Source organism: Homo sapiens, chromosome 17 (assembly GCF_000001405.40).
Source record: "Homo sapiens chromosome 17, GRCh38.p14 Primary Assembly".
Classification (NCBI taxonomy): domain Eukaryota; kingdom Metazoa; phylum Chordata; class Mammalia; order Primates; family Hominidae; genus Homo; species Homo sapiens.
In genome coordinates this window covers 74745306-74770084 of record NC_000017.11, presented here as the reverse complement: position 1 = coordinate 74770084, position 24779 = coordinate 74745306, and the positions used below count along the sequence as shown (strand labels likewise).

The 24779-nt window shown below is 56.2% G+C and overlaps 2 protein-coding genes, 1 long non-coding RNA gene and 1 other non-coding gene across 8 annotated transcripts in view, besides 9 other annotated features; 1 reads left to right on the top strand and 3 right to left on the bottom strand.

Moving 5' to 3' along the window:
* On the bottom strand, positions 732–21457 carry NHERF1 (NHERF family PDZ scaffold protein 1). The gene is made up of 6 exons (NM_004252.5): positions 20798–21457; positions 7912–8073; positions 6565–6718; positions 3109–3149; positions 1849–1938; positions 732–1617 (listed from the first exon to the last, which is right to left on the bottom strand). The coding sequence occupies exons 1-6, from the start codon at positions 21236–21238 to the stop codon at positions 1429–1431; spliced, it is 1077 nt and encodes a 358-aa protein (NP_004243.1). The 5' UTR covers positions 21239–21457; the 3' UTR covers positions 732–1428.
* Positions 6346–7097: an enhancer, noted in NCBI's record as "H3K27ac-H3K4me1 hESC enhancer chr17:72759127-72759878 (GRCh37/hg19 assembly coordinates)". NCBI's record gives its function as "activates a minimal SCP1, AML or CMV promoter by ChIP-STARR-seq in primed H9 embryonic stem cells {active_cell/tissue: H9 hESC(primed)}" and the evidence as "EXISTENCE:reporter gene assay evidence [ECO:0000049][PMID:30033119]".
* Positions 9750–10497: an enhancer, noted in NCBI's record as "H3K27ac-H3K4me1 hESC enhancer chr17:72755727-72756474 (GRCh37/hg19 assembly coordinates)". NCBI's record gives its function as "activates a minimal SCP1, AML or CMV promoter by ChIP-STARR-seq in primed H9 embryonic stem cells {active_cell/tissue: H9 hESC(primed)}" and the evidence as "EXISTENCE:reporter gene assay evidence [ECO:0000049][PMID:30033119]".
* Positions 10498–11244: an enhancer, noted in NCBI's record as "H3K27ac-H3K4me1 hESC enhancer chr17:72754980-72755726 (GRCh37/hg19 assembly coordinates)". NCBI's record gives its function as "activates a minimal SCP1, AML or CMV promoter by ChIP-STARR-seq in naive and primed H9 embryonic stem cells {active_cell/tissue: H9 hESC(naive and primed)}" and the evidence as "EXISTENCE:reporter gene assay evidence [ECO:0000049][PMID:30033119]".
* Positions 11245–11992: an enhancer, noted in NCBI's record as "H3K27ac-H3K4me1 hESC enhancer chr17:72754232-72754979 (GRCh37/hg19 assembly coordinates)". NCBI's record gives its function as "activates a minimal SCP1, AML or CMV promoter by ChIP-STARR-seq in naive H9 embryonic stem cells {active_cell/tissue: H9 hESC(naive)}" and the evidence as "EXISTENCE:reporter gene assay evidence [ECO:0000049][PMID:30033119]".
* Positions 11993–12739: an enhancer, noted in NCBI's record as "H3K27ac-H3K4me1 hESC enhancer chr17:72753485-72754231 (GRCh37/hg19 assembly coordinates)". NCBI's record gives its function as "activates a minimal SCP1, AML or CMV promoter by ChIP-STARR-seq in primed H9 embryonic stem cells {active_cell/tissue: H9 hESC(primed)}" and the evidence as "EXISTENCE:reporter gene assay evidence [ECO:0000049][PMID:30033119]".
* Positions 18361–18902: an enhancer, noted in NCBI's record as "H3K4me1 hESC enhancer chr17:72747322-72747863 (GRCh37/hg19 assembly coordinates)". NCBI's record gives its function as "activates a minimal SCP1, AML or CMV promoter by ChIP-STARR-seq in naive H9 embryonic stem cells {active_cell/tissue: H9 hESC(naive)}" and the evidence as "EXISTENCE:reporter gene assay evidence [ECO:0000049][PMID:30033119]".
* Positions 20218–24485, top strand: SLC9A3R1-AS1 (SLC9A3R1 antisense RNA 1). Its single transcript, NR_187307.1, has 3 exons — positions 20218–21022; positions 21158–21512; positions 22542–24485. It is a non-coding gene; the product is annotated as an SLC9A3R1 antisense RNA 1 (long non-coding RNA).
* Positions 20394–21019: an enhancer, noted in NCBI's record as "H3K27ac-H3K4me1 hESC enhancer chr17:72745205-72745830 (GRCh37/hg19 assembly coordinates)". NCBI's record gives its function as "activates a minimal SCP1, AML or CMV promoter by ChIP-STARR-seq in naive H9 embryonic stem cells {active_cell/tissue: H9 hESC(naive)}" and the evidence as "EXISTENCE:reporter gene assay evidence [ECO:0000049][PMID:30033119]".
* Positions 21224–21913: a silencer, noted in NCBI's record as "silent region_8939". NCBI's record gives its function as "represses an Ori minimal core promoter by ATAC-STARR-seq in GM12878 lymphoblastoid cells {active_cell/tissue: GM12878}" and the evidence as "EXISTENCE:reporter gene assay evidence [ECO:0000049][PMID:35858748]".
* On the bottom strand, positions 21386–21472 carry MIR3615 (microRNA 3615). The gene has a single exon (NR_037409.1). It is a non-coding gene; the product is annotated as a microRNA 3615 (primary transcript).
* Positions 22308–22903: an enhancer, noted in NCBI's record as "H3K4me1 hESC enhancer chr17:72743321-72743916 (GRCh37/hg19 assembly coordinates)". NCBI's record gives its function as "activates a minimal SCP1, AML or CMV promoter by ChIP-STARR-seq in primed H9 embryonic stem cells {active_cell/tissue: H9 hESC(primed)}" and the evidence as "EXISTENCE:reporter gene assay evidence [ECO:0000049][PMID:30033119]".
* The window catches only part of RAB37 (RAB37, member RAS oncogene family), a 76205-nt gene continuing 74175 nt past the window's right edge, over positions 22750–24779 (bottom strand). For all 5 annotated transcript variants that reach the window (NM_175738.5, NM_001330471.2, NM_001163989.3 and 2 more), the window contains one exon: positions 22750–24779. In NM_175738.5, coding sequence (NP_783865.1) covers positions 24674–24779 — 106 coding nt within the window. In that variant the 3' untranslated portion in view covers positions 22750–24673.

The window sequence follows — 24779 nt, the reverse complement described above, 5'->3', positions numbered from 1 at the left end:
CTGCAGCCTAGCTCTTGCAAGCCACCTTCCTGGACCTCCAGATCAGGCTTCAGGTGCCAAAGGTATCAGGGACCTGGGTCTTTTGTTGGGGGCAGGGCACCTTGCCCTTGAACAGTCCCTTCCACCCCAGCTAGCCACACAGCATGTCCCCGGGCTCAGTGGACCGGTTTGTTTTCCCCTGGCACTGGACACTTGCCCTCCAATCAGGTCACAATGGCCAGATAAGATAGAGGATCTGGCACCAGCCCAGCCTGCCCCTGGGAATTCTGCACCCCACTGGCTATAGGCAGAAAGAGTAAAGCCAAGTCCTCACATTCCAAACCCAGCTCCATCCTGGGACACACTTTCCACGCTTCTGGAATTAAAGGAACCTCCCAGAGTCCTCTGAGAACGTTGGTCTGAGCTCCCACTTCCCCTTGTAAATATCCCCGTTAGACAAGGGGTCCCCAGCCCACAATCGGTGCTTGCAGCCCAGCACACAGGCACACTGACCACACCAAGCTGAATACCCGGCTGGGTGCATGCATCTTCCTTCCTACAGGACTGCAGCTAGGCCCTCTAGCTAAAGCTACCCAGGCTTGGGGTCACAGGGAGCCCTTGATGGCCCTCCCTCCAGTGTACCCCACCCTCCCAGCCAAAGACCACCTTGGCTTACCATTTCTCAATTTCTACCTATAAGGGGTCCAAGGCCAGAGGACAAAACTTCCAAGGAACACACGGAGGCTGAAGGGTTTGGAGGAACCAGCTGAATTTCTGAAAGTGTTTCCTTACAATGGTGGTACCTGGCTCAGGGATGGGCAGGGGTAGCCAAACCCTCCCCGTGCTGCCCAGTTCGCTGAGGGTGGGAGTAGGAACAAAAGTTTAAGGCTGAGGCCACTGCCATGCCCTGGATGTAACAACCAGGAAAATCATGTTAATCAAGGAAACAAAAATTCCTCTAGACTCTGCAATACTGCACTCTTAACAAAAATCAAATGAAAACAAGACGTGTCTGCCACAGGTCTCAGGGTAACAGATGCCCTGTCCACTGAGAGCGGCAGTTCTGCAGTCAGAGTTCTTTGATCAGCCCTGGACCCATTTATCACATGGGGGAGGAAGGGAGGGTGCCCTCTCGCCTGGTCCCATGATCCTGGCATGGTGCAGGTTCCAGCGATGTCCCAGGCAGGGTGGCAAAGGGACACCCGGTAGGATGAGGCACTCAGTGAGGAGGAGGGAGGCAGAGTCTCCTTTCTGACTGCGGGAGGACGGGAACACATTCACCTTCCCTAAAGTCAGGGAAGAACATAGTTCTCTAGAAAAATCATTTGTCAAGAAAGGGGATGTGGGTGCTGATTTGTACATTGATTCAGGGGAGTAATTGGGGAGAAGGAAAAAGGTGGGGTGGAATGCTGGCTCGGCCCTGCCAGTCACTGGGTGGCAGCAGGGCGCTCAGAGGTTGCTGAAGAGTTCGTTTTTCTTGCTCCAGTCCATCTGCGGGGCCCGTTTGCTGCTGCGTTTCTGGTGGGCCCTCTCTTTGGCCATGGCCAGGGAGATGTTGAAGTCTAGGATGGGGTCGGAGGAGGAGGTAGACGAGGGCGCTGTGGAGTCCTGTTTTGGGGGGCTGTCTTGGGAATTCAGCTGTAAAGAGAAGTGGGGGCAGGAAGTTGGGAGTCAGTCCCTCATTAGGCTCCCTGGTCCTCAGCCTTGGTGAGGTGGCTCCGTTGGGGCCGTGCCCAGGGAAGCCAGGTCACAAGAACAGAATGCGGCTCAGCATGTGACCTCAAAGGCAGGCTGGTGTGCCAGGAACAAGTGGGGCCTGGGAATCGGCTTCCTGTAACCCAGTTGCCACCCCCCGCATGGCTGGCCTACCTCCTCGCTGGTGTCACTGGAGGCGGATCTCACCAGGGCTGGCCTGGGGCTCTCCAAGGCTGCCTCTGCCAGGGCTTCACGACTGTTCTCCTGGCAGAGAGGAGAGGGTTGTGGGTTGTCAGAGGATGGGGTGAGGGGGTCCTGAGGAGGGAGGGAGCTCCTGGGGAAGTAGGGGCCTCAGACTGAGAAGAGGTAGCACTGATGCCCTGGCCACCCACCCCTGGTTCCCACCTCCTGAGCCTGCTGGGGCTCCTTTTTACATTCCTTTGGGGATCAGAGGGCAGGCTGGTTCTACTGCTCAGGCTGGAGGGATGGGATGGGAACAGACCATCATGGGATTAGCTGAACCGCTCCCTCTCCCTGGGCCACTCCAATGTGGCTTTTAGGTACTGGCTTGCCTTTTGGGCCAGTGACCAGGGAGGGGCTTCTTGGAATGTGGGGACACATGGGGGCATGGGGAGCCCATGTGGTGCTCCCTGAATCTCATGTGGTCCACCTGACTGTTTGCCAGGATTTGACCCCAGGAATCCTGAAACCCTAACCCTGAAGCAGCAAAGGAGGGCCTTGAAAGAAGAAGGTGGATGGAAAGTTCTAGATCCAAAGATGAGGTGAAAGAAGGTTGAGGGCTGGGTCCAAGGGCCCTCCCCCTTGCCAAGTACCCTGGCAGGAGCTCCTAGGGAAGGGGAACCTTTAAGCAGACCCTGCAGAGTTCCTGCTCTGTGGCCTGACTGAGTCGGCCTGTCCCAGAGCGAAGGCTTTGGCTGGGGCGTCAGCTTGGCACCCAGCCCCTTCCTGGGTTCCTCCATGGCTTCAGCTGGCGCCCAGCCCCACCATCTCTTCCCCGGGCCTCACCCCCTTTCCCTTCTGCCCAGGGAAGGGGGGAGGAGGGGCTTTGTTCTTCCAACCCAGACTAGAAGTAGCAGGGGCCCGGCTGCCCGTGGCCAGACACTGAAGCTCTGTTCTTGGGGGGAAGAATGGCCCCTTCTGTATGGTGGGGAGTTGGAGGCGGGGGCTTGTCACCCAGGATGGCGGGCTGCAGAGGGGCCCAGCCAGCCCGCTCCCTCCTGACAGCTTTGGCCCCAGGCAGAGGCCAAGAGGGTTCTGGCAGTTCTATAGCTTGGAGCTGAAGAAGGAGCTGGAACTGGGGACCCTGGGGTTTTGGCCTTAGTCAGATGGCTATCCTACCAACCACAGCACCTTCTGATCTGTCTCATGCACCCCAAGGATTGAAATCCAAAGAGACAGGGGACCCGCCCTTACCTTCTGTATCTCCCCATTGGTGAAGGGCACAGGCAGGGGACCTAGGCAAAGGACAGAGCAGAGGTGAGTCCAGAACGGGGATGGAATAGAGCGTGGAGAGGAGGTAGGAGTTGGGTTTGGGCAGATTATTAGATCTTGTTCCCTGGGTCAACATCTCAAACTTTTTTGACTACCACCCACCATGAATACATTTGCCTTATTTATTTAAAAAAAATTTTTTTTTTATAGAGATGGGGCCTTGCCATGTCATGCAGGATGGTCTCAAACTCCTAGCCCCAAGCAATCCTTCCACCTTGGCCTCCCAAAGTGTTGGGATTACAGGTGTGAGCAAATGTCTGGCCTACGTTTGCCATTTTGATGACTCAGCACACACAAAGATTTTGTGTGATAAAAGTTTCACAAAGCAACACCCTTACTACAGTGTTCTTTGATATTTTTAATTTCATTTCATTAAAAAAAACAAAAAAATGTCTGGGCCAGGCATAGTGGCTCACACCAGTAATCCCAGCACTTTGGGAGGCCGAGGCACCTGGATCACTTGAGGTTAGGAGTTTGAGACCAGCCTGGCCAACATGGTGAAACCCCGTCTCTACTAAAAAAGACAAAAAGAAAATTAGCTGGGCATGGTGGCACACGCCTGTAATCCTAGCTACTTGGGAGGCTGAGGTGGGAAAATTGTTTGAACCCAGAAGGTGGAGGTTGCAGTGAGCCGAGATCACGCCACTACACTCCAGCCTGGGCAACACAGCAAGACTCTGGCAAAACAAAACAAAACAAAACAAAACAAAAAAAACAAACCAAAAAACCTGCTGGTCTCTATCTACTAAATTGATCTTATGAGGCACTGATGGGTCACAAGGTGTTTAAAAAATGTATTGTCTCAGATGGGGATGAAATTCGAGGATGGCTGCCTAATTCCTACCTGGGAATTCCTACCTGGGAACTCCTACGTGGGAAGCTTGTTAAAGTACAGATTCCTGGACCTTGGCAGCACAGATTCTGGTTTAGTGGGCAGGCCTAAGAATCAACATTTTCCAAACGCTTCCCAGGTGATGATGATGACACCAAAATTGGAACCACACCCCAGACTATAGTTAGTACCTGCCTCAACTGAAAGAGAAAATAGTCTGGGCTCGGTGGCTCATGACTGGGACCCCAGCACTTTGGGAGACTGTGGCAGGCGGATCACCTGAGGTCAGGAGTTCAAGACCAGCCTGGCCAACATGGCGAAACCCTATCCCTACTAAAAATACAAAAATTAGCCGGGCATGGTGGCAGGCGCCTGTAATCCCAGCTACTCAGGAGGCTGAGGCAGGAGAATTGCTTGAACCCAGGAGGTGGAGGTTGCAGTGAGCCAAGATTGTGCCATTGCACTCTAGCCTGGGTGACAGAGACTGTGTCCGGAAAAAAAAAAAAAAAGGCCAGGCGCGGTGGCTCACACTTGTAATCGCAGTACTTTGGGAGGCCGAGGTGGGCGGATCACAAGGTCAAGAGATCGAGACCATCCTGGCCAACATAGTGAAACCCCATCTCTACTAAAAATATAAAAATTTGCTGGGCGTGGTGGCGCATGGCTGTAGTCCCGGCTACTCAGGAGACTGAGGCAGAAGAATCACTTGAATCTAGGGGCAGATGTTGCTGTGAGCCGAGATCGCACCACTGCACTCCAGCCTGGGTGACAGAGCAGGACTCCATCTCAAAAAAAAGAAAAAGAAAAAGAAAAAAAGAGAAAATAATCCCAACTCCTATTTGCCAATCAGGAAATGAGGGGGGACGAGAAGGCTCAAGGGGTGTGTCCTGGGTATCCCCTCCCCCAGCCAGTGGGAAACCTGGAGGGGTCAGAGGGAGAGAAGACAGGTCTGGGGTCACCTTCACTGGGCTCACTCAGGGTAGGGGTCCCACATGGCTTCAGGGGTGGCTGTTCCATCTCCAGGGACTGGTCAGTGTAGGGCTTCTTCTGAACTCTTAGCTTAAAATTCCTGGTTATCTTTTCCCTGTCCCCAGTCCAGGACACAGCCAGAGATACCTGACTCTCATCTTCTCCTCCCTTTTGACACCCACAGCCTTCCCCGGGCAAGGACAGGCTGCTGGGACACAGGGTCACTCACTGTCCCCTCCCCATCAGCTCACAGTGGTCAGGGTGAAACCCTGGCAGCCGGAGAGGGGGGCATTCCTCCCTATGGAAAGGGTGAGGATGCCATCCTGGAGGGACTGCGGGGAGGGGACTGTCCCCAGGCCTCTCCCTCTTCAGGTCCTTTGGCCAGAGGCTGCAGCCCCTCTAGCCCGAGAGACAGGCAGAAGAGGGAGGAATGTCTGAGGGGGCCAATTACCTGCAGGGTGAAGGGGTGGGGGAAGCAGGGGACAGTATCCCAGGAGCTGAGTGGAATCCAGATTCCAGCTGTGTCTTCCTCGTATCAGATCCCTAGGAGGAAGGCTGGGGCTTCTCTGGGCCTTAGTCTCCCCCTCAGTGGAGAAGGGGATTATCTGAGTTACCTGGTTTCCATGAACTTGGGAGATAAGGGTAAGGCGGTACCCCACCTCCCATGCCCAGAGCCAGCTAGGGACTTCCAGGGGCCATCCCCTCTTCTAGGAGCCTCAGGCCTTGGATTGCGCCAGAAGGGGACAGGGCCTCCCCAGTGGGCCCTTGCAGCTGGCGATGGGAGTCGCAGGACCTTTGTGTGAATCTCCTTTTACACATACAACCTTGAGTCTCCAGGAGGCCCCACCCACTGCAAAGTCCCAAGAGGTTCCACCCTCAGTATGGCCCAGTGAGCACCCCTGCCCGCTCCAGGGAGCCATCTTCCCAGGGAGAAAGTCCAGACCAAGGAGCAGAGCATGCTTAACCCCTCCCTGCCCCGGTGCAGCAGCCCTGCCCTGTTTGGCTCGGGCCTGGGCAGGGGGAGGCGCCAGGCTTGGCAGGGTGATGGTGGGGGATGGGGAGGGCAGGGGCCCAGGGATTGAAGGGGGACCCACTACTCTCTAGAGCCAGCAAGGCTGAGTTTCCAAGACAACCTGAGAGGAGGGAGGGGGAGGCACCGGCCCCCGTCACTGGACTCTGATCTGACCAAGCAAAGGCTGGAGGCCTCCCCGGAGTTAACCCTTTCCTCACATTGACACTGCCCTGAAAGTCTGCTGGTGGGGACAGGACTGGGGGCTTGGGCCTCCTTTGGGGCTGCAGCTTTGGCCGGGAATAAGAAGATCTGTCCATCTCTCTCACCGACCTCATGCCAGCTGACCCCATCACAAGCCGTCCTCAGAAACCCACTGCCACTCCCTACACTAGGCCCCCGCTCCCCCAGCCCACACCTCTGGGCCTCCCATGAAGGAGGAGGAGGGAGCACCCATGCCGGGAAGCTGCCCACCCCTCGCCTGGGACCCAGCAGTCTTAGCCCTGGCTCACATCCCTGACTTGGGGGGCTCCAGCCCCAGGACGGCCAGTGGCCCCACCTGGCTTACCATTCAGGTGCTCCTGAGATGGGATCACTCTGCATTTCTTGAAGAACTCGTCAGTTTCCCTGTCCACCACCAGCAGCTTGGTCTCGTCCCCGCCAGCCCTGATGGCGGACACCACGTCCCCATGCTGCTTCCCCTCCATGCAGACCCCGTTCACCTGCAGGGCAGGGTCGGGGAGGCGTTACGGACACAGGCCTTGGTTCTGGGGCAGGTAAGTGGAGGGGGGTTGGGGGCAGGGGTGACCACCTTGGTTCTCAGCCAGTTTGCAGTTCACAACCTGGGGATACTGACCCCCGCCATTTCTGCAGAGTCCTGAACTAGGCTGGGGGTCCTCCCATTGACAGTCAGCTGGGGAGGCAGGATACATGGGAAGGGCCAACGAAAATATCCAGACGAGACTAAACAAACACAGCTGGGAGAGATGGGATGGGAGCGAGCTGGGAGGCCGGGGTGGGGCCCAGCCTGGGTAAGGACTTGCTGTCCGACTTCCTTCTCTGGGCCTTGGTTTTCTCACGTGTAAAATGAGAAGTCTTGGGAGAGCTGATCTCTAGCTCTAAGGTTCTAAGACTGTGATTCTGGGACCTGCCTGAGCATTTGGTTCACGTTTCCTCTCCCAGGAGCACAGCACCAGAGCCCTGAATGCACGAGTCTAAAAGCCTAACTCGGGGCCGGGTGAGGTGGCTCACGCCTGGAATCCCAGCACTTTGGGAGGCCGAGGCGGGCAGATCACTTGAGGTCAGGAGTTTGAGACCAGCCTGGCCAACATGGTGAAATCCTGTCTCTACTAAAAATGCAAACATTAGCCAGGCGTGGTGGTGGGCACCTGTAATCCCAGCTACTCAGGAGGCTGAGGCAGGAGAATCGCTTGAACCCAGGAGGCGGAGGTTGCAGTGAGCTGGGATTGTGCCACTGCACTCCCCCAGCCTGGGCAACAAAGCGAGACTCCATTTAAAAAAAAAAAAACTAAATAAATAAAGGCCTAACTCAGGAGAGGGGTTTTGTTACTGCCACCCCACTCTGTGTGCCTGGCAGCAGGGAAGCTCTGGAGATGGCCCCAGACATCTCCCTGATCGATGGGTGAATCACAGGCTGCCCACTGTATCTGCTTGGCAAGGAGGAGTCCAGGGGAGTGGAGGTAAGAGAAGAGTCCATCAGTCAGTCCATCTGTCCTTCCGTCTATCCATCCACCACCCTTCCCTCCCTCCCTCCCATCCACCCATCCATCCAGCAGCTCCAGGTTGGCTATGCCCGTGGGCTAATCAAGCCCATGATGGTATGATGGCTGCCCCAGGTGCTGCTGATCTGCAGGGGGTGGGGGCAGTCAGATAGGAAGAGAGCGAGAAGCATCACCTCCACAATGCGATCCTGGGCCCGGAGCCCTGAAGCCTCAGCCGGGGAGTCTGGGTCCACTGACCGGATGAACTGGCCTGGCTTGGACTTGTCGCTGTGCAGGTTGAAGCCATAGCCACTGGGGCCCTTCTTCATGGTACAGAGCCGAGGCCGAAGCTCGCGCTGCAGGGACAGGGGAGGGTCCATGGCTATTCCACAGTGCCCCAGGTTCTGCCTTCCCTGTCCTCTGCCTGTCCCCATCTCCCCAACCAAGGAAGGTTTGGGAGGATGCAAATTTGCCTAGATCCCTACACAGCAATTTGAGAGGGTTCTGGCCCAGGACTCAAAAGACTTGTGTGGATACCCAGCACCGCAGCTAACTGCTTAGGTGATGTGGATAAAACACTGCTCTGTCCAAGCCTCAGTTTCCTCTTCTGCCAAATGAGGGGTAGGACCAGGTTAGCTCTCACATGCCTGTCCCTTCTGACAGTCTAAGGTGAATCACATGCTGTGTTGATCGGGCCTCTATCCCTCCCCATTGGTGGCTCAGTCTGGCCCTCCTGGAGAGGGGGCAGAGTGTGGCACCCGTCAGCCTGGCTGGGGACCTGGGGCATATGACTGAGGACCCCCAGCCCCTTTGTACCCCGTTCTCTGCAGCAGGGGAGGAAGAGGCAGGTGTTTACTGAAAGCTGGTCAGTGTGTTTACAGTAAAGCCTTCCTCCATATACTCGAACTCTCTCTCACCCCCACCAAGCCGAATGGCCCAGCCAAAAGGGAGCCAGAAGGAGCAGATAACCAAAAACTTATTGTTCAGCACAGCAAGGGGACCTGGACAAGACGGGGCCATCCTCAGGCGTTCCAGGACCTCCTCCCCCGACACCGCTGCCCAAGGGCAGAGGTGGCAACGGAAGCACAGAGACCCCAGAAACAGAGGAGCCTGAATGGGGAGGGGACTGGGAAAAGCAGGGCTGGGCTAAAGGGAGCCCAGTGTGGCTGTGGCCTGGAGGGTGTGACCTACTAAAAGGGCACACGCAGATTTCGAGTGCTTGGACTCAGCTGAAAACAGTTTCCAACATGCTTGGTCCAAAGTAAGCAGCTCAGCTTAGAAGCTGCAGGCCTGGACACACAGTATGATGGAGGGAATATGGGTGTAGGCAGCCGAAGCCTGTGCCCAAGGACTACGCCTGAGTCCCTGTCCCTCTCCCCCTCCTCCAGGCCTGGTGCAGGGCCACTGGCTGCTGTCCAGCCTGCTGGCCCTGTGTTATCACTCAGCACATCAGACAATGAGCAGTGGATAGTCAAGGCTCCCAGCCAGGTTCCAGCTCCCCTGTTTAGGAGCTGTGTGACCTGGGGCAGGTCATTTATGGATCATTCTGACTGCCATCTGCCTCCCAGGGTTGCTGAGGCCCAGTGAGGTCATTGACTTAAACACTTTCTAACTGTAAAAAATCCCTGTGCACACCCAGACTTTCCCATTGTTGTGAATACTAATGAATAGTCATAGGAAGCTGGGAGTGAGATTCTGGTGGGGTGGGGGTGTGTGTGCCAGGCTGCTCTGAAACCCAAATCCCCAGCTGGGAGTGGAGAGGGCCGAGAGGGGTGGGAAGGCGCGCCCAGGAGGGCTTATGGGCCTCTGTCCCAACTTGCCAGCCCCAGGAGGCCGCCACCATCTGCAGGAGACTCAATCCCCAGCCTTTCGATCTCTGGGGGTGGCTAGAGGATGACTTTGCATTCCTTTAAAGGCTTGGGCAGGTCTTTCTTGCCTGGGTTTTCATACCCAAATCCAGGCTCGAGGACCCCTCACCCCAACAACAAAGACGGTTAAGTGAGTGGTAAAAACGTGAGTGGCTCACAAAGGCTCAGGAACCCTGAATGAAGCTCCTCTTGCCTTGTTCTCCCTGGCCCACCCCCTGCCTCACTGCAGGGCCCACTCCCAGCTAGTTCGGCTGTCACCTGCCCCAGGCTCACCCCCCGGCACTCCCACAGCCCTGTGGGATCTTGTTCCGGGAGTAAGTGAGGCTCTTCTCCCCTAGAGCTAATCCCTCCACAAAGCTCCCAGCCAGGCCCTCCCCCGGGCCGCCTAGGTGAGCAGAAACAAGTCTGACCAGTCGCCGTCACCAGGACAGGCGCAGCTTTCTGCTTCAGCCAGACACCCTGAGAAAGTGGGGAGGGTGAAATCTCAGGACAGGCAGGGGGCAGCTCTAGTGACCTCCTCCAACCTCCCTCCACCGTCCCTGCGCTCCCAAAAACCTTCCCATAACAACCTGACTGGGGCTTGTCAGCTGTTTTTGAGATGGGGAAACTGAGGCTCAGAGATGTGGAGCCCACTGCCTGACATCACACAGCCAGAACTCCAACCCTGGTCTCTGACTTGGAACCTGTCCTCCTTCCACCACACTGCAGGGTGCTCCTTAAGGATCCAAGTCCAGAATGGGGCAACCCATTGGGAGGTGAGGACCCAACAGGAGTCAGGCAGCAGAGGGCAGACAGGGGCTCTCTCCAGGGCATCGGCTGCAGCCTCTGCTGGAGGTAGGCTGGGAGCTGAAGAAACCACAACCTACCACAGCCTTCCTTCCGGGCGCTCAGGGCCTCTCGCAGCTGGAGCTGCAGCCTGAGCTGGGGGATGAAGCCTGGTGTGGGTGACAGGGCAGGGGCATGGCTGGACTGGGGGCAGGTGGCTCTGGGCGCCCCCCCCGGCTGGCAGGGCAGGGCTGTGCTAGCTGCCTTTGGGATGCCCATCCTCTGGCCCTGGTCTCTGTGCTGTGGGCTTCCCTTACTGATCTTCAGCCCAGTGCCCCTCGCCTAGTGACATATGGTGCCAAAGCTCCAGGGCCTGCTTTGAGCCTTGCTCCGCTCTGCCAGCACCAAGTCGTGCAGTTCAAGGGGAAACAGGGTACCCAGCCTGAGGGGCTCAGGTGCCCTCTGTTTCCTTCCCCTGCACTGGGACCTGCTCCACTGTTCTGTCTAGATGTGGCTCTGTGGCGGCTCCAGGACCTGAGGGGGTGGCTGGACAAGGAGATGGGAAGCCCCCGGTAGACCCCACCAGCATTTAGACAGCTCCGATGCACCTGCAGAGCCTCCTTCCCAAGTCCCTAGAGACTTCCTCCCCTCACATGGGAAGGGGGGTTCCCACTCTTCAAGGGAGACCAGCCTTGTTCCTCCTCACCCCTCCCTAGCAGGAGCCTCCCAGCTGTCTCCAGGAGGTGTCAGTGCCAGTTGCTGAGTCAGCCCATCAAGCCAGCCCATCCCAGCCTGGGTGGAGGCTGGGGCTGGCAGGGGAGTCCCTTGGGGCAGCCCCCCTGGGGATCTGTGGGGCCTGGCCTGTGGTCTCCAGGCCCAGCACTGAGAGGAGAAGATGGGGAGGTGTGGGGTACCTGGCCGAGCTCAGCCACCATTGCTCTTGGACCCTCACCGCCAAGCTGGGGCAGGGCTGGGTTCTGCCTCTGGGGAAAGGGGATAAATGGGAGTGACGTCCAGGCATGTTGGGCTTGGTGTGTGGCCCCCAGGATCTTAGGAGGAGCCAGCTACAGAGGGGTCCGAAGCATGGTGGGAGGAGGAGACTCAAAAGGAACATAGCCCCAGTGAGTTCCGGAGGGCAAAGTGGGACCTCCAGTGACGACGACAGCCTGGGAGACCCAAGTTCAAGACAAAATCAGGATCTGCTCAGAGAGGAGACTGGCAGAGAGCCAGAATCAACAGGAGGGAACATGAGGCCATGCAGCCGATGGGCAGCGCAGCTGGGCCGGGGTGACCCAGGGCTGGACAGGCTGGAGACTCTCACTTTCACAAAATGCTGGCTGGCTTTCCAGAAAAGACCCTGCCCGGAGAGCTGCCCCCACACCCTTCTCCCGGGGCCTCCTCCACCCTCAGGCTTCCTCCCTTCATCTGTCCTTTCCCCCAGGGAGCTTCACCGCGCCCTAAGTGGCCGCCCCATCACCTCCACCCACGCAGTCCAGGGAGCGGATGGCGGGCACGGAATTCAATAGGCGCCACCAGCAGTCACCTGGAAAGCTGGGGAAAGTCGATACCCTAATCCCAGTGACCGTCTCTGGGGAACAGGCCCAGGGCCGCTCCCTGCTCCTCCTTCCTCCCTTCAGGGAAGGCTGTGGGAGCCTGGGGGCCAACGCCCCATTGGGCCCAGCCCCTCCCTGGCTGATGCCATGGTGATGGGCCCTACAGAAACAGCCCAGCCCGCTTCCTTCGAGCCAGCTAGCTCAGGACCCCAGAGGAAAGGGGCTGGAGGAGTAGGAAGACCACTTGGGTGTCCAGGGGAACAACAGAGGTAACCCCACCTCTCAAGACTGCCCCTCCCCCAGCCCAGGGCTCTTGTTTATGCAAAGAAGACCAGTGCCCCATGCCCAATACAGGAAAATCAGCCCCAACAAGAGGATGGAAGGGGGCAGGACGGCGGGGGCAGGAAGGAACCCTGGCTGTTCTCAGGGGCTGGGGTGTGTGTGTCAGGAGTATGTTGGGTGTAAGAGCCATATTTGCTCTGGGAGACAGCTCAGTTTGTTCCCCAGATTCTGGAGACAGGGCTGGGCCTGGTGCCAGCTCTTCAAGGAAGCCAGGATGGAGACAGCTGGCCCTGCCTGGAGTGCTGTGTGACGGGCAGCCTGGGGGCACTGGGAAGTGACCAGGGGCTCCAGGCACTCAGCCAGTGTCCACACCTCTAGGCAGAAGGTGTCTTCTCCTTACCCTAGGTGAGGTACAGGGGGCTTGGCTGTCACTGGCCCCCTGCGTAGTGGCCCTGATGTCACCTCATTTTACTCTATGGGACCCCCTTCCACCCTCCACATCCCTCCAGGTCTGTGCGGGCGGCAGGGGAATGTTGGATGTGTCCATTTTAAAAAAAGTCACTCACTGCTCCTAGCCCTTGATCTCTTCCTTCCTATTTCTCAGTGGGAAGAGCTTTCCCTGGAGTCTGGTAGGGTGGGAACCAGGAGGGAGACACAAACTAAAGTGAGGTCTGCTGGTCTGACAGACACCCCCAGGACTCAGAGGTCTGAAACAGGTTCTCCTTCTGGCTAGTAACCTCTTCTCCCTGTGCCAGCCATGGAGACCCACGGGGGCAAGAGGGGGCAGAGTCTGGCTCAGGTCTCTGCAGGGCTGGGCAAGCCTGGGATGGAGCAGGCTGGTACCTGGGCTGCAGCCCGGCTGGACACCATCCAGGGCTGGCCGCCCCATGCCTTCCCTGCTGCATCCTTCCTCATCCCTCACCCTCCTCCCAGAAGTCTCTAGATTTAACCCCCAGGGGTTGTCCCAAGGGGCTATTAAGAACCTTCAAGGAGCTTGTGAAATTGGGGCTCAACACTGAAGTAACAAATAGCAGCTGCTATTTACTGAACACCTACTATGTGTTAGGCACCGAGCTCTTTACATGTGTTTTCTTCTTAAGAGCCAATTATAGTCCTAAAAGGAAAGTATTATTGCCAGCATTTCACAGAAAAGGAAACCCAGCTTCAAAAAGCTGGAGTCAGTTGCTCAAGTACACATGGCTGACGGGCAAAGGCAGGATTTGAGCTCAGATCCAGAGCAGCACTGTCCAGTAGATATATAATGCCAGCCATGTGTGGAATGTAAGATTTTCTAGTCATCACATTTGAAAAAGGAAAAATAGGCCGGGTGCAGTGGCTCACACTTGTAATCCCAGCATTTTGGGAGGCCAAGGCAGGTGGATCACCTGAGGTCGGGAGTTCAAGACCAGCATGGCCAACATGGTGAAACCCTGTCTCAACTAAAAATATGAAAATTAGACATATGTGGTGGTGCACACCTGTGGTCCCAGCTACTCCAGAGGCTGAGGCACGAGAACCGCTTGAACCCAGGAGGCGGAGGTTGCAGTGAGCCGAGATCACGCCACTGCACTCCAGCCTGGGTGATAGAGCAAGGCTCCGTCTCAAAAAAAAAAAAAAAAAAAAAAAGAAAGAAAGAAAGAAAAGAAAAATAGGCCAGGTGTGGTGGCTCATGCCTGTAATCCCAGCATTTTGGGAGGACGAGGCAAGTGGATCACTTGAGCACAGGAGTTTGAGACCAGCCTGGTCAACATGGTGAAACCCTATCTCTACTAAAAAAGAAAAATACAAAAATCAGCTGGGCGTGGTGGTGCACAGCTACTTGGGAGGCTGAGGCAGGAGAATCGCTTGAACCTGGGAGGTGGAGCTTGCAGTGAGCCGAGATCGCACCACTGCACTCCAGCCTGGGCAACAGAGCGAGACTCTGCCTCCAAAAAAAAAAAAAACAGGAAAAATAGTAGAATTGAATATTTTATTTAACATAATGTACCCAAAATATTATCATTTCAATGTGTAATCCATTTTTAACAATTGAGCTATTGTACATCCTTTTATTTGTACAATGGCTTCAAAATCTGGTGTGCATTTTGCACACACAGCACGTCTGCATGTGGACCAGCACATCTCGAGTGCCCGGGAGCCTCGCGAAGCTGGTGGCTGCTGCCCGGACAGCACAGACCTGTGCTGCCTGAGACTGCCCCAAACACACTCCTCTAAATACCCCTGGCCATTGCTGTTCCCCTGACCTTAGCACAGGGAGAGGCTGCAGCCTGTCTCGGAGAATTCAGAGCTCTCAGCACCCAGCAGTGAGTGGGACTTGAACCTGGCCAGCATTCTCTGTGTGTTCCCACACCACCCCGAGGTGACCTGGACCTCAGGGAATCTGTAACTCTTGTCCTTTTCTAGGGCCTAGGGACCTAAACATTGCCTAGGAGTCTGGGGACATGGTGAGTTGTCCTACCATGAGGGGAAGGCTTCGGTCAACAGTGAAGACCACCCTTGAGGGGGGCTCTCTGTGCAGGTTCTGGGGAGTGAGGGCGGGGGTAGATACTTGGTTACCAGATTCCAGATTGACCTATCACATCACGTGAGAAGGGATGGGGACAGGAGCCTGCCACTTATGGGCTGAGGCACTGCAAGGATGCCCTGCTAGGGACAGGAGCACCTGGAAGCCCTGGATCCTTACAGGAAGCCAGTTCAAGCAGCCTGAATTTATACCACTGTGATGGTCCAGCTGTGGCTCAGAATATGATGGGCAGAAACACCTGGCAGAGTCAGGCTTCAAGCACAGCCTACTCATGTGGCCAAATGGCTGTGCAGGCACTAGAGTCAGAGGGTTGGGTTCCAAGACACACCCCTGCGCTGTGTGGGAGGAGTCGCTAGCTCAGAGTCCTGGGACCCGCCATGGCCACCTTAACTGATCAAGCCTCAGCCTCCATAGGCAGAGAATGGGGCCAATATCTGCCTCACTGGTGGTCATGTGGATTAAATGAGACAGGCAAGGTTAGTACTTAGCACAGTGCTAGACACAAATAGTAGCTATCATGTATTGAACACTTACTGTCAACCTACAAAATAGAGAAAACAATAGCTAATTTGTCTGGGGGACAATGAAATGCATATTGGCTGGGTGTGGTGGCTCATGCCTATAATCCCAGCACTTTGGGAGACCGAGGCAGGTGGATTACCTGAGGTCAGGAGTTTGAAACCAGCCTGGCCAATGTGGTGAAACCCCATCTCTACTAAAAATACAAAAATTAGCAGGGTGTTGTGACAGGTGCCACCCAGCCTGGCCACCGTGGTGAAACTCCGTCTCTACTAAAAATACAAAAATTAGCAGGGTGTGGTGGCGGGTGTTTGTAATCCTAGCTACATGGAAGGCTGAGGCAGGACAATTGCTTGAACTTGAGAGACGGAGGTTGCAGTGAGCCGAGATCACACCACTGCACTCCAGCCTGGGCAACAGAGCAAGACTGTCTCAGGAAAAAAAAAAAAAAAAAAAAGAAAGAAAGAAAGAAAGAAAGAAAGAAATGCATGTCAACATCTTTATGTCATAGGTAGAGTGCCTAAAGGCACTGTACAAACCTGTTTCCTTCCAGGTAGGGCCACTCTATCTTAGAGCAACGAAAACAGAGGAACATTTGTTATTGGGGTCTAGAGCTCTGGTTTCTCCCTGTAAAGAGTCCTGCAGCACCAACAAGACCTCGGCTGAGCTTCTTCTTTCTTTTTTTTTTATTTTGGAGATGAGTCTCACTCTGCTGCTCGGGCTGGAGTGCAGTGGCGCGATCTCGGCTCACTGAAACCTCCACCTCCCAGGTTCAAGCCATTCTCCTGCCTCAGACTCCCGAGTAGCTGGGATTACAGGCACCTGCCACCACGCCTCGCTAATTTTTGTATTTTTAGTAGAGATGGGTTTTTACCATGTTGGCCAGGCTGGTCTTGAACTCCTGACCTCAACTCCTGACCTCAACTGATCCACCCGCCTCGGCCTCCCAAAGTGCTGGGATTACAGGCGTGAGCCACCGTGCCTGGCCTGAGTTTCTTATTAATTTCCCACCCCACTTTCCCAGGGACCATTGAGATGGGACATCTGGGAAAGGGGAGAAGGACCCCATCTAGACATATGGAGTTCCTTGAGAAGGAAGCCCCCATTCACCCCCCTCCCCCTGTTTTTTTGGTAGAGACGAGGTCTCACTATGTTGCCCAGGCTGGTCTCAAACTCCTGGGCTTAAGCGATCCTCCCGCCTCAGCCTCCCGAAGTGATGGGATTACAGGCACAAGTCACTGCGCCCGGCCAGGAAGCCCCCATCTATCTCCAAGAGAATCATCTCCAGAATTACTGAGTTAACAGGAGCTTGAAGGTAAGAACCAGGGGCTACACTGTTTTGCCAGCAAAGAAAGAGATCCCAACACACAAACAATCACATACCCTGTCCATTTCAAATCCAAACACCCAGCAGCTCAAGCTCTGTTCTGCCCTACCAGAGCTCCAACTTGGTTGGTGTAAAATGGCCCGCCCGCCCTGGGAAAGAGGTTGATGGCCCTCCAGCTAACTGTGCCCCACCACCCACCTTGCTCCCTGGGGTGCCTGCACTCTGACTCTGGGATCAGGGTCAGGGCTGGCAGGAAACACCCCAAACTAGCACTTTCATTTACAAACCTGTCATGCCACCAAATCTTCCCAATAACCCTGCAGGCAGTGCCTTTCACAGAGGTGGAGGCTGAGGGTTGCAGGGAAAAATGAACTCCCAGGATCCCAGAACCAGCACACGGCAGAGCTGGGATTCAAACACTGATCTGGCTGACCCCAAAGCCTGGACTTTTGGCTTTCTAGTTTTCAAATAGAAGCTGCTAGCAGGCAAGAAAGAAGAGTGGGTAGGTTCTATCTGGAATTCCAATCTCTGGGCGGGGCGGGATGAGCTGAATGAGGACAAAGGTCCCTGACTGTTGTTATATATTCATTCATTAATTCAAAAACTGTTTTTGAGAGCCTCCCTACCATGTGCCAAGGACAGCGCTGGGGATAGAAACACAAATAGGCCACAGTTGATGCCCTTGGGCTTACCACGTAGTGGAGAAAAAGGTCACAAACAGATGATTAAAATATTGTGTGTTTAGAGCGATAAAAGATGTAAGGACAAAGAGGAGGCGGAGGCCGAGGCTGGCAGATCACCTCAGCCCAGGAGTTCAAGACCAGCCTGGGCAACACGGTGAAACTCCATCTCTACAAAGAATTTAAAAATTAGCTGGGAATAGTGGTGCATGCCTGTAGTCCCAGCTACTAGGGAGAATGAGGTGGGAGGATCGATTGAGCCCTGGAGGTCGAGGCTGCAGCGAGGCGAGGTTGCGACACCACTCCAGCCTGGGTGGAATCTGTCTCAAAAAAAACAAAAACAAAAACAAAAACAAAAAAAGTGAAGGAAAGGAAATGCTAACTCTGCCTACTGGATTAAGGACAGGCTCCCTGGGAGGGGACAGAAGTGTCAGGGTGTGAAGGCTTAGAGGCTAGAGGGGAATTCGGACCCTGGGTGTGGTTTTGGGGGTAGGGAGGCAGTGGTGAGAACAGGCTGCCAGATGGAGAAGGGCCATGGAACAGCATATAACTCTTAAAAAAAAAAAAGAAAAAATTTAATAGAGACAGGGTCTTGTCATGTTGCCTAGGCTGGTCTCAAACTCCTGGGCTCAGGCGATCCTCCCACTTTGGCCTCCCAAAGTGCTGGGATTACAGGTGTGAGCCACCACACCTGGCCACAACGTATCATTCTTAACCCACAGTGACCATCGATCAGGCACTGACTGTGTGCCAGGCTTGGCCACAGTGGCATTTGCCCAACTAGGCAGGCTGACCCAGCGCTAGCTGCCCCATGATAGGTGTGCAATGATCACTATGAAATATGTATTCATTCCAATACCAACTGCAAAGGCTGGCTGAGCCTGGACTCAGTGCCAGGCACTGAGCTACGTGCTTTACACACAGCCTCATGCAATTCCGAGGTAGCTGCCATAACCCCCAACTTACACAAGAGGAAATGGAGGCTTACAGAGGTGAGGTAACTTGGCTTCGCACAGCCTGGCTAGTACAGCTGAGCTGGCTCGGCTCTGCCCGGCCGGCACTCTGAACCCAGACTCAAGGGTTTAGGCCTCATCCTGTGACTGGTGGTGAATGGGGGGAGGAGGGCTTTAAGCAGGGGAACAGCAGGGCGGGTCTTGCTGCTCCTCTCTCCCCACGGGGCAGGCGGGGAAGGCCATCCACAAAGCAAAGCCGGTGGGCAGAGCTGGAGAGCCACTTCCACCTCCTTAGGCCTAGACTCCCCAGCGGGGATGGCCAGTGTTACAGGCACCCCTCAGCCTCTGCCCTGAGTGGTTCTGGACACAGCTGGTCTTCCCAGCCAGAGGCCACCCAGCCAACCACTCTCTGCGCCACACTTTTCCACTGATATCATCACTTAGTAAGTGGAGGGCTAATGAAGACAAGGGAACAGCCCCACCTTGCACACAAATTCAGACTAAAACGAATTGGCAAACCTCCATTTGATGCTTTATGTAGGAAACGGGTGTGTTTTAGAAAAACGAACTCTTACAATGTCTGTTAACATTTTTTCTAATAACCACATGGGTGTCTGTATGCTCAACACACAGGATTGAGAGGAGAGGATTTTCTGCTAGAAGGACTCAATGGTGTTGACTAGGAGTCAGTTTAGAGGAGCTGGGATTCAAACGCCAGGCATGAAGGAGTGCAGTTCAGCATTTAGTAAGGGGCTCAAGTGCTTCACGTCATTTCTATAATTCTAGAGAAGGCAGGCATCACATCGCCCAATGCCTCCATCTCACAGATGGGAGAACCAGAACTCAGAAGTCCTGGGACTTGGCTGGTGATGGTGTCCCCAGGATTTGCTGGTGGCTCTCCTCTCATCTCCTGGCCTAACAAAGTACACACAAATGTAGGTGTCCCTCCAAAACATGCAGGAATCTGAGTCTGTGCTCACCCAGGAAGCTCAAAGCTGCTGCCTTTGCGCACGTGTGCTATGCCAGGCCTCCACGTTCGCCTCCCAGGCCCTCTGGCACCCAGCAGCATAACCAAAAGGGCAAAGGGAGGAGCTGAACGAGACTGCAACTTGTGGGGGGTGGGGGTGGGTGGGTATTTGTGTGGGTGCCAAAGTCCAAAAAAAAAAAAAAAAAAGAATGTCAAATCGATCGATGGACTCAGCACAAAGTTCACACTGGATTTCTGCCTGGGACTGGAGATCATCGGCCCCAACTCCCTGGCATCAACCTCCTTGCTCCGGGTGCTCAGATCCCTTCCCCCTCCCCTTGCCAATGCCAGCTTGGCAGGGGCAGGAAGTGGGAGCCTGGTGGCCCTGGCATTCCCAGCACCCAGCTCTGGCTGGACAGGGCTTCTGGTGACCTCACTTCCACCAAACCAGTTGATCCTCTAGGGCTTTGCCTTCTACCTTAATGCCGAACTGTGCCCTTTCTCTGTCCAGGAGGCTCCTCGTAGCCCCACGGACACTCCCATCAGACACTGCCACCAGGGAGAGCTGGTGGTGCAAGCTGAAGGGGTCCTGGGAGGCTCACGCCCTGCCCTACACAATGCACCACTCCACTCTCTGGGGACAGGAGGCTCAGCACAACTCCTATTTTGCCAGCTGCCCCTCTTGCAGCTGATCCAAACTGGGATCCCATGGGCAAACACCAAACATGGGCAAAAAGCAACCGGCCTGCTGGCTGTGTGGGCACCAGAGTGACCATGGCAAGGCCAGGGCAAGACCACCGGCTCACCGTGAGCTCCGCTGGCGCACACAGGGCCGTGAGCCCCAGGAGCTCTCTCTCCTCCCCATGGCCATCTTTTTCTTCTTCCAAGGTCTTTCCCCTTCCCTCCCAGATACAGTTCTAGGCGCTTACTCTTCACATTCCTGAGAATCGTAAATCCTCTGAGGTGGCAGAACCACCACTCCGAGATGCCTTGGCTCCTCCTCCCTGCCAGGCAACCCCCACACCGCCCTGAGATGGTGGGGCTTCCTCTCCCTTAGAAGTCACACAGGACTCCGGGAGGATGAAGTCCAGCAGGACTGAAGTTCAGGACACACACCGGCGGGCTGCGGAGAGGGCCTCCTCGCGCCGGGGCTCCACACAGGAGGAGTAATGCTATTCCTCTAGCTTTTGAAGTAGGAGTGGCGGGCGAAGCTGGCACCTCTGGGGCGGAGAGCCCTTTCTCCCCGGCCCATCTGCGGACTGGGGTGAACGAGGAGAGGGCACCAGGGAAGGAGCAGGATTGGGGGATTCCGAGGAACGGGAGCAGACACCCACAGACCCGAGGGAAGGGGGCTGGGTTCCCCTGCGCCGCCCTCCCAAAGGCCAGGGAACAAGAGGTGCAGGCGGCAAAGGCGCTCAAGCTCCCAGCACAGCCTGGGAAGGAGAGGAGGTCGCGGGACGCAGCCCCAGGCCTGCCTAGGATGTGTCAGGGCGCCTGGTCGGCGGGCGGAAGCGGTCTCCCCCTCGCAGCTCGAGTTTCAGAAAAACGACGGCGGGCGCGGGGCTGGACGGCCGGGGCACCTGGGTCTCTCCGGATCCTCCTCCCACTCCATGCCAGCCTGCGCGGCTTGGGCCCCGCTTACCTGCTCCGGGTGGCTCTTGTCGGCCTCGCGAGGCTCATTTTCGTTGCCAGCCCCCTGCACCTCGGCGGCGGCCGGCGGCTCGGCCTGCCCCGGCGCTTCCTGGGCGCGCAGCAGCTCCTCTCGGACCTGGACGCCGAGCTTCTGCAGCTGCTCGTCCGTCTCGGGGTCGACCACCAGCAGGCGCACGGCGTTGAGTGCGGCGCGGATGCGGCTCACCACCTGCTGGTGGGTCTCCTTCTCCACGTTTTCGCCGTTCACCTCCACCAGCCGGTCCCCCGCCAGCAGCCCCGCCTTCTCGGCCGGCGAGCCGGGCTCCACCAGCCGGATGTACTGGCCCAACTTGCCCTTCTCCCCGTGCAGGTGGAAGCCGTAGCCGTTCGGACCCTTCTCCAGGCAGCAGAGCCGGGGCAGGGGCGCCCCGGCCGCTGCGTCCGCGCTCATCTCGCCCTGCGACGGGTCAGCGGCGCGACTTGGGGTTCCGATGGGGACGGGACGGGACGGCCCAGCCCTTCTTCCCGTCCAGCGAACCGGGAGCGCAGCAGAGAAGCCCTGAGCCGCCGGACGGGCCAAGCAAGCAGGTGTCCCAGGAACCGTCGGCCGCCGCGAGCCGCGAGGAGCCGAGAGAGGACCACAGACCAATCCCCGCCCCGCGCGGCGTCTGAGCGTCCCAGAGTCCGCCCCGGCTCCTTACCCCGGGGGCGGGGCCGCGCTGAGGGTGGGGACCTCCGCGGGCCAATAGGGGGCTGCAGGCCTGGGCGCTCCGGCCGGGTGAACGGCGCCGGCCATTGGGAACGCGCGGGGCGGGGCCTGCGCTCGGCGCGGCGCCCCGCGGCGGGCGAAGACTAGCGCTCAGGAAGTGGAAGTGTTTGTTACCGAGCGGCCGGCGCTGGGGTGGCAGGGGCGGGGCTCGCCGAATTCCCGGTTCTGGGCGGGTGGGCCCGCCGGCTCCGGCCTGGTTTCCCCTACCTGTGGCGGGGAGTGAGGAAAGCCGGCCCTCGGGTAAAGGACCCTAACTTTTTTTTTTTTTTTTGAGACGGAGTCTCGCTCTGTCGCCCAGGCTGGACTGCCGTGGCGCGATCTCGGATCACTGCAACCTCCGCCTCCCGGGTTCAAGCGATTCCCCTGCCTCAGCCTCCCGAGCAGCTGGGGTTACAGGCGCGCACCACCACGCCCCGCTAATTTTTGTATTTTTAGTAGAGACGAAATTTCGCCATGTTGGCCAGGATGGTTTCAAACTCCTGACCTCAGGTGATCCGCCCTGGGATTACAGACGTGAGCCACCGCACCTGGCCAACGTTTTAACAGCCTTTAGCCAAAGCCTGGGTGCAGCTCCAGTTGAGAGGGAGCGGCTGTTGCCGGGGCAACTGCTCCCGCTCGGGGCAGCGAGGGCCGGTCAGTCTCGAGAATTAAGACGGAGGGCCTCCTCGGACCCTACAGAGTTGTTTGAATAACATTTTTCCGTTTGTGGGAACCCTAACCCTAATCCACTTTGTGCTGTCCCAGGACTCGCATAGAGGAGTGCAGGTTCTGATCCCTGCTGGGAAGGTGAGGGCTCCGCGGAGAGCCTGGGACCTCGAGGGGCAGCCCGCTGAAGACAGGCCATCTAGGGCAATAGCGTGGGCTTTGGCAGCAGCGTTTGGCTAGGGAGGTGGGGTGGGGAGAGGCAGGACAGACTCAGGTAATCAACCTCTGGGTACACGCCACAGGGAAAGGAGCCTTGGTTTTTTTTTTTTTTTTCCAACAGAAAAATGATTAGGACTGTAAAGCCTTCTAGCTCCCTCTTGCCAAAGAGAGGCTGGTCACAGAGGCGGGAGACAGTCTGTTGAGCGGGGAGCTGACCATCTGAGGACAGACACTGAGGAAGGAGGATGGAATGATTTTGGCAGTGAATGACAATTCCTTCAACAAGACCCCCCCCCCCCACTCACTTCAAAGAAACAGTGGACAGGATGTGCTTTCCAAAATACTGCAGTTTAATTCTGAAAAACTCAAATGCAAGAGGCCCAGAGCTGTCTATGGGATTGGATCTCCTGCAACCTGCCTTGGGCCCCAGAAGAGACTGGCAATGTCAGCCTCCTCCCTGCTCTGCCTGAGGGAGGCCACGGAGAACTTCCTTATCGGGCCCAAACTGGAGCCGCTGACTGCTCAGAGCAAGATTTCTGCCTTGAAAGCAAATGCAGTAGCCTCAGAAATGTGCAGCGCATACTTCTTCCTCCCCCTCTCCCCCTCCAGGCCGGCAGAGCTGCAGTAAAGATGCCTGCAGGTCATGACCTCATGTTTCCTGTCCACTTCCCATGGCAGGGATCGGAGCTTTGGGAGATATGTGACCAAGGAGGACACATGAACTTGCTACCCCTCTCTCTACCCCAGACATACCCACATGACTTTGTTTTACTCATATTGCATTGGTTTAACTCGGAAATGGGTGACCTCCCACCACCTAACCTGACTCAGTAGGAGGGGAGGTAAAGCAGTTTAGGCCCTGGTATCTGTTTGAGAAGTTAAAGGAAAGGGCATGGGTGGTCAGGGAGGAGGCAGAGCTTGGGGTCAAAGGGATACATGTCAGGGGAGGTTTGCTTAATCTTGTCTCCCACCAGCTCCAGGAGCCAGGGATTTCTCTTTTTTTTCACAACACATTCCAAACCTAGGAAAGGGATTTCTCCTTATCTGGCTCTTAACCCAGGAGGGCTAAACACTTCAGCTGCTTGAAGAAATCGCCTGTGGAGCTGCATGCCTGCCAAAGGATTGGGATAAGACACATCTAGCCTGGGCATGGTGCCTTCTGCGTGTAATCCCAGTACTTTGGGAGGCCGAGGCCGGCAGGTTGCTTGAGCTCAGGAATTCAAGACCAGCCTGGGCAACATGGCGAAACCCTGTGTCTACAAAAAATACAAAAATTAGCCAGGTGTGATGGTACACACCTATAGTCCCAGCTACTTCGGCGGCTGAGGTGGGAGGATCGCTTGAGCCCCAGGGAGTGGAGGTTGTAGTGAGCGGAGATTGCACTACTGCACCTCAGCCTGGGCGACAGAACGAGACTCCATTTCAAAAAAATAAAAACAAAACTCTTTTCCTAGTTCTGACCTGAGGTTTTTAGGTGCACAGGCAGGAAGGTAGCTAAGCCAGGGATTCAGGGGGGGGAGGGGCTCCCCCAGGATCTGAAGTCCAGAGAACAGGAGCCTGGAACCAATATTTCCAGGTGCCCCAATGTGCTTGTGTGCTGGAGAAAAGGGGCATGCCTCCAGGGGGGTGTTAGTAAGGCCAGAGATAGCCAGCTAGACCCTACTCTCTGCCCCTTGTCCTCCCCCTCCCATCTCCATATCTCTTATCTTCCCTGAGGCTTTGGTCTTCCTCACAGCACAAGGGCCCACTTATTTGGGAGATGGGGCGAAGATAAGCTCCTGGAGAGCGGGAGACAGTGAAGGCTGGGGTCACCTGAGCCTCTGTCCAGCTGAACTGAGGGTGCGATGGAGTCATTACCTGCCCTCACCCCCAAAGTGCATCTGTGTCCCCTGGGGCTGAGCTGGAGCAACACCACCTTTGTTATGCTTAGGAGGGAGGGCCGGCCCCCCAAGTCCTAGAAAGCAAAAGGGCCACTAGCTCCCAGCCTCGGTTTTTTGGGGATCCAGGCGCCTTTTTTGGTATTAAATTATGTACTATTAAAATAAAAGCTAAGTGTTTTACCCTCCCTGTGGATGCGGGGAGACCGCAGGAACTCAAGTAGGAGTTGGAGTATAGCTCCCTGCTAGGAAGCGGCTGTGCAGTGAGTCCTCCATCTTTCTCCCCATTGGCTCAGCCTCTTGGAATAAGCCAGGCCTGGGAGGGGGAAGGCTGCATCCTGTGTGCCTCCAGAGCCTCCTCTCTGCCCCCTGGGATTCACATGAAGGAGCAGCAGCTGGAGCGCTTCTTCTGGGACTCTACATAGTCTCGGATCTGGAAGCTGGGCTCATCCGCCTGATGCCCGGCCCGGTATTTCAGTTCC

Excerpts from the sequence above, each read along its gene's own strand:
- NHERF1 (NM_004252.5), bottom strand. The coding sequence starts at position 21,238 with ATGAGCGCGGACGCAGCGGCCGGGGCGCCCCTGCCCCGGCTCTGCTGC. Across the intron at positions 6,719-7,911 it reads CCCAGGATCGCATTGTGGAG|GTGAACGGGGTCTGCATGGA; the intron begins GTGATGCTTCTC and ends CCTGCCCTGCAG. Across the intron at positions 1,618-1,848 it reads CCAGTGACACCAGCGAGGAG|CTGAATTCCCAAGACAGCCC; the intron begins GTAGGCCAGCCA and ends TTCTCTTTACAG.